This window comes from Homo sapiens, chromosome 1, assembly GCF_000001405.40.
Source record: "Homo sapiens chromosome 1, GRCh38.p14 Primary Assembly".
Classification (NCBI taxonomy): Eukaryota; Metazoa; Chordata; class Mammalia; order Primates; family Hominidae; genus Homo; species Homo sapiens.
In genome coordinates, this window is record NC_000001.11 from 80,481,442 (window position 1) to 80,488,231 (window position 6,790).

The following is a 6,790-nucleotide window of genomic DNA, read 5'->3' on the forward strand; positions in this document are numbered from 1 at the left end:
CAAAAAGTGACACATTATGTGTTTAATTTATATAATATTTTTTAAATGACAACATCTTAGAAGTTGAAAACTGATTAGAGATTGACAGAAGTAGTGGTGGGGGCTGTGGGTAAGAAAGAGAGAGTGTGATTATAGAAGGACAACACAGGAGGTACTAGTGACAGAACTGTTCTGTGTCTTGACCCTGAAGATGAAAATAGACAAATGCATGCGATAAATTTTTACACAACTAAATAGACACACACATACACAAATACAGGAGTACAAGTGAAAATGAGAAATCTGAGTAAAATTGGTGAATTATATCAATGTCAATATCCTGGTTGTGATATTTTACTATAGTTTGCATGATGTTACCACTGGGGGAGACTGCATAAGGGTCACATGAGATCTCTTCCTATTATTTTAAAATAATGTAAAATAATTATAGTTTTAAAATTTTTTAAATATTAACCTAAAATTATCTCAATAAGAATTTCAATTAAAAAATGTAAGACAATTGAACCTCCAGTCAACTTCCAAAGTGTTGTAAATGCATTTGAACCAGATTTGCTATTTAGATACCATATTCAATCTAATTGTCTATACTCACCATCTCTTTAATAATTATTAGATTGAAAAACATATTGAAGTATTTTATTTGTTGTGGATTGAATTGTGTACCCCAAAATGATATGTTGAAGTCCTAAGCCTTGCTGTCTGTCAATATGACTTTATCTGAAAATAAGGTATTTGCAAATGTGATCAAGTTAAGATGATGCTATAGTAGATTAGTGTGGGCCCTAATCCAGTGATTAGTGTTCTTATAAGAAAATGAAAATTTGGACACAGTTACACAGACAGACACACACAGGGGGAAAGTCATGCAGTGATGGGGCAGAGATGGAGTAATGTGCCTATAAGCCAAGGAACATCAAGAATTGCTGGCAACCACCAGAAGCTAGAAAGGGAGAGGAAGGATCTTTCCTACAGCCTTCAGAGAGAGCATGGGCCTGGAAATATCTTGATTTTGAACTTCTAGCCTCTAGAATTATGAGTGAATAAATGTTTGTTCTTTTAAGCGGCCAAGTTTGTGCTACTCTTTTTATAGCAGCCCTACAGAATGAATACAATGGTATTTTATTGAATGCATCACCCAAAATCTTTTATGTTAATGTAAAATAGTAAATTAAACCACAATAAGTATTCCATTTTGAATTCCTCAGTTATTGTCTGTTTACAATATACAAGCTTACCTGAATAGCCAAAGCAATCCTAAGCCAAAAGAACAAAACCGGAAGCATGTATCACCTGACTTCAAACTATACTATAAGGCTACAATAATGAAAATAATATGGTACTGATACACAAAAAGACAAATAGACCAATGGAACAGAATAGAGAATCCTGAAATAAAGCTATACACCTACAGCCATCTGATCTTTGACAAGGTCAACAAGAATAAGCAATGAAGAAAGGACTCCCTATTCAATAAATGGTGCTGGGATAACTGACTAGCTACATTCAGAAGAATGAAACTGGGCCCCTACATGTCACCATATAAAAAATTAACTCACGATGGATTAAAGACTTAAATATAACACCTCAAACTATAAGAATTCTAGAAGAAAACCTAGGTAACACCATTCTGGATATCAGCCTTGGGAAAGAATTTATGACTAAGTCCTCAAAAGTAATTGTGACAAAAACAAAAATTGAAAAGTGGGACTCAATTAAACTAAAAAGCATCTGCACAGCAAAAGAAACTATTGGCAGAATAAACAGACAACCTACAAAATGAGATAAAATATTTGCAAACTACACATCCAACAAAGGTCTAATATCCAGAATCTATAAGGAACTTAAACAGCAAAAGAAGCAAAAAATGTCAAATAATTATATTAAAAATGGGCAAAGGACATGAGCAGACACTTCTCAAAAGAAGACATACAAGCAGCCCACAAATATATGAAAAATCCTCCACATCACTAATAGTATTATGCTGTTCTCACAATGTTATAAAGAAATACCTGAGACTGGTCAATTTATAAGAAAATAAGTTTAATTGGCTTATGGTTCTGCAGGTTGTATAGGCAGCGTAATGCCAACATCTGCTTCTGGAGATTCCTCAGAAAGCTTCCAAACTTGGTGGAAAGCAAGGGGGAAGCAGGCAGATAACATGGTGGAAGCAGAAGCAAAAGAGAAAGAGGGAGAGAGAGAAAGAGAGTGGAAGGGGAGGTGCCATACACTTTTAAGTGGGCAGGTCTCATGTGAACTCAGAGAGAGAGCTCACCACCAATGAGGTGGCCCAAGCCATTCATGAGGGTTTTGCCCCGATGAACCAAACACCTTCCATCAGGCCCCACTTCCAGCACTGGGATTTACTACTCCATCCGAGATTTGGTTGGTGACAAATATCAAGACCACATCACTAATCATCAGAAAAATGCAAGTTAAAACCATGAGATACCATTTCATACCAGTTGGAATGGCTATTTTTGAAAATTCAAAAAAATAACAGATGCTGGCAAGGTTGTGAAGAAAAGGGAGTGTTTATACACTGGTGGTGGGAAAGTAAATAAGCCACTGTGGAAAGCAGCTAGGAGATTTCTCAAAGAACTTTAAACAGAGGTACCATTCGACCCAGAAATCCCATTTTCGATATATACTCAAAAGAAAACAAATTATTCTACCAAAAAGACACATGATGCAGTCTCATGTTCATCACAGCACTATTCACAATAGCAAAGACATAGAATCAATCTAGGTGTTCCATCAATGGCGGATTAAATAAAGAAAATGGGGTTCATATACACCAGGGTATACTATGCAGCCATAAAAAGAATGAAATCATGACCTTTGCAACAACATGGATGCAGCCGGAGGCCATTATCCTAAGCAAATTAATGCAGAAACAGAAAATCAAATATTGCAGGGTCACGCATAACTATGAGCTAAGTATCAGATACTCAGGGACCCAAAGATGGCAACGATAAAACCTAGGGACTACTAGAAGTATGAGGAAAGGAGGGAGACAAGGGGTGAAAACCTGTTGGGTAACATGCTCAGTACCTGGGTAATGGAGTAATTCATATCTCAAATGTCAGCATGTACCACCTGAATCTAAAATGAAAGTTGAAAAAAAATTCAGAATATAAAAAATCATCTTATTCAGCTAAAATATTAAAATATATCTTATTTCTATAAATGGCTATTGTTCTAATATATTTTGGCCAAAATAGTCACCTCATCTATCTGCAATTAAATGTTTAATTAACATTTTATTTAATTTTGATACGTATCAAATTATTATTGATTCTTCTGAAGTATCTGTAAAACATGTTTCAAAATATCTCATAAAAATAAACATTTAAACATGAAACAAAAGTATGAACGCTTCGTTGTTCCTCTATTACAATCCAGAAAATCATTCTTAGCAATGCCAAACACTATTTGGTAGAGATGGTGAAAGAAATATTGCTTTTTCTTTGTTTCTTCTTTTAATCAGTATATTTACTTTTGTTTTTCCTATTCTTACGTGTGTGTGTGTGTGTGTATATTTATTTATTTATTTATTTATTTATTGCTGGGCCCACTATGTATAAAATGGTAATTTGTATCAACCATTATTAGCAGTTCATATTTTCATCCAGATTTATAGATAAGGATATTAAAGACAGACAGATTTTTTTTTTAGTTAAAAGTTTAAAAATGGTTTAATCATATCTTTTCTGAAACCATGTATACTGTGAAGTATAATTTCAAGTAAATCATGCTGTGGAAATAGTTTATTTTATACTGGATTCAGCCTAGAAAGCTGTTGATATCATTCAACATCAAAACATTTCTAAAATGCTCCATCACTGAAAGCTCTTGAATAGTAAAATATTATTAAAAATCAGCTTCAAGTATGAAAAGAAAATACCTTTCAAAGGCCATCAACATGAAAGGAAATTCTCACATATATTAACATTGAAATGGAAATGTATTTTCAGTAAAGAGAAGTTATCAGAAATTCTCCCTTGATAAATATTTCACCACACTTCCCTTTGGCCATTCTGCCCACACTATGACCACCAGCACATTGTCATGAGAAGTTTGCTTTACAGAATATACTAAATTGGAGCATTCAGTCTTTCAATTCAGTATTACACATATTGGTAACAACTTCAGAATAATTATGGCTTTTATCAAACTATCCTCAAACATTTCACTATTATAACTATGGAGGTATTGAAAACTACGCTGTAAAGTGCTGTGAAGTGCTGGATACATACTTTTGTTTTGTATACTTAATGCATCTTAGCATAACAAACTGGGCAAAACTCTTCTCCAGGATTAATATAACTATTTGTTTTTTTCTGATTTTAAAGTTAGCTTTCCTGACTATTTCTGCCTTTCATATACACACACACACACACATAGCACAGTGAATTGGAGTTGTATGGACAAAGGTTCAATTGTTTTTTTTAGAGAGGGAAGGTTGAGACAGGGTCCCTTTTTGTTGTCCAGGCTGGAGTGCAGTGGTGCAGTCACAGCTCACTACAGCCTCAAGTTCCTGGATTCAAGCCATTCTCCAGTAACTGGGACTACAGGCACACACCACAACACCCAACTACTTTAAAAAAAAGAAAAAAATTGTAGAGACAGGGTTCTCACTATGTTGCCCAAGCTGGTCACCAATCCTGGGCTCAAGATATCCTCCCATCTCGGCCTTCCAATGAAGGCTTACCTCTCTCACTTATTAACGTGTCTCTATTACGAATTAACCAAGCAAGTTTTGACAATTTATTTAATATTTCTGTGTCTTAGTCCCCTCATTTGTGAAATGATATAATAAGTCTAAATTACAGGGATGTTGCTAGAACTAAATAAACAAAAGGTAAACCATTTATCATAATGTCTGAAAAACAAATTAATAAGTATTTAATAAATGGTAGCAAGAGGAAATTTAGGGATTTCCGCCTGGGCTTCTGTGTAGCCATTATTCATAACCCACAATTCACACATAACCAATTGTTTTCTACAAACATTTATCCTCAAGTTGATGTTTATACAGAGGCAGCTTTTGAGGCTTTAAACTGAATTTGTAAATCCATAGCAGAGATCATGGTCCTGAAATTCAGGGTTTCCATCTTAAAAGCCAGGTTTCCTGGTGGCAGAAAAAGTTCTTTGTTTTCACCAAAGGGCTGAGAGGCAGGAGTAGTTTGAACAGAAGTACACAGACAGGAGATAGAAAACTCTTTCTACCCTGGTGGAAGTGATTTGAAGAGAGAGGAAGAGCTAAAACATGGCTGTTGCTGTAGTTGCTGCTCTCATTTTTCTTTTAGAATGAGTCTCAGTGGTGATGGAAACTTCCTTAAGTTGAGGAAAATCTCAAAATAAAAGCTACTGTTGCCCCACTTTCTGGGGTTTAGGCCTCACAGAGGGGCTTTGTGTCTGGAACATTGTTGGAATAGCAGGTATTAATGAAGGCAAGAATGGTCTAGATGAGAGGTTGGCAAACTTTTTATCAAGGGCCAGAGAGTAAATTCTGCAGGTTTTATAGGTCATATAATTTCTGTCACAGCTAATTTTCTCAACCATGACCTTGTAGTAAGCAAACAACCATGGGCAATGAATAACTGAATAAATAAAACTTTCTTTACAGATACTGAAATTTGAATTTTTGCATCATTTTCATGTCAGGAAATATTATTCTTCTCCTGATAATTTTCAACAATTTAAAAGTGTAAAAATCATTCTTAGGTCACAGAACATACAACATGACATTTGTCAAATTTGGCACAGAACCTGTAGTTTGCTGTGCCCTGGTTTAGACACAAAGAGGATCTAACACTGTCCCTTGAAGTTTCTAAGAGAAGCATAGGAGAACATAAAAGTTTTCTCTTTCCTTGTGAAGGAGAGAATGTAAATGAGAATGAGTAAGAATAGACATTTAGTTGGGAAATATATAGTATATGTGGACTGAAGAAAATAGGTTGAGGTGGGGCCACACTTGTCAGCAACATAAGCAGTACTGAGAGGCCAATGTTCTAATTAAGGAAGGACAAATTTGGTCTCATACCAAGGCTAAAAGGGTCTGAAGATGACCTTAGAACAGACTTAAGTCTCTTCACTACCCTTGTTCCCTGAGGCCATGTGTTACCTAAGCATCTCTGGAAACTAGATCACAATCAAGGGGAAAGATTGGGGGGTTTGGGTGCCATTAGGTGGGATAGGATTAGATTGAGATGCCAGAAGGAAGCACAATCACTGCCAGGGAGTGTTACAGAGCCTGAGTCGGTACCCAGGTTTTCTATTCTTTTTCATCTAGTGAGAACCACCAATCTCTAAAGGCTGACTTGCTACCCATTGACCTCCCAATGTGTAATGCAATCCTATCTAGAGTGCATCCCAACCTAGAGTTTTCATTTAGCTGCAATCCTTCCCATATGGGCAATTCATCTATCAATTGAACTCCACCAATTGGAGGCAGAAAGTTGGGTACATGGCTGGAAAGAAATTTTGATTTGTTTCCATGATGAAACTAGATAGAGAGTTTCAATTCTCCTACTAAGCCACAACAGGGATGGGGTATGCTTTTCTATTATAATATCTAGTTAACCATCCACTAGAGACCTCAATGGAGCCATCAAGCTTTCCAATATGTCTTTTGCCAAAAAACTTTAGCTAAGATTGAGGTTAAGAAGTCATCACACACGCACACGCACACACACACACGCACACACACACACAAAAAATCTAAAAACTTCACTGCTGTTCTCACCTGTTTTTCTAGGTCACTATTCCCTCTATTTCCATGATGACT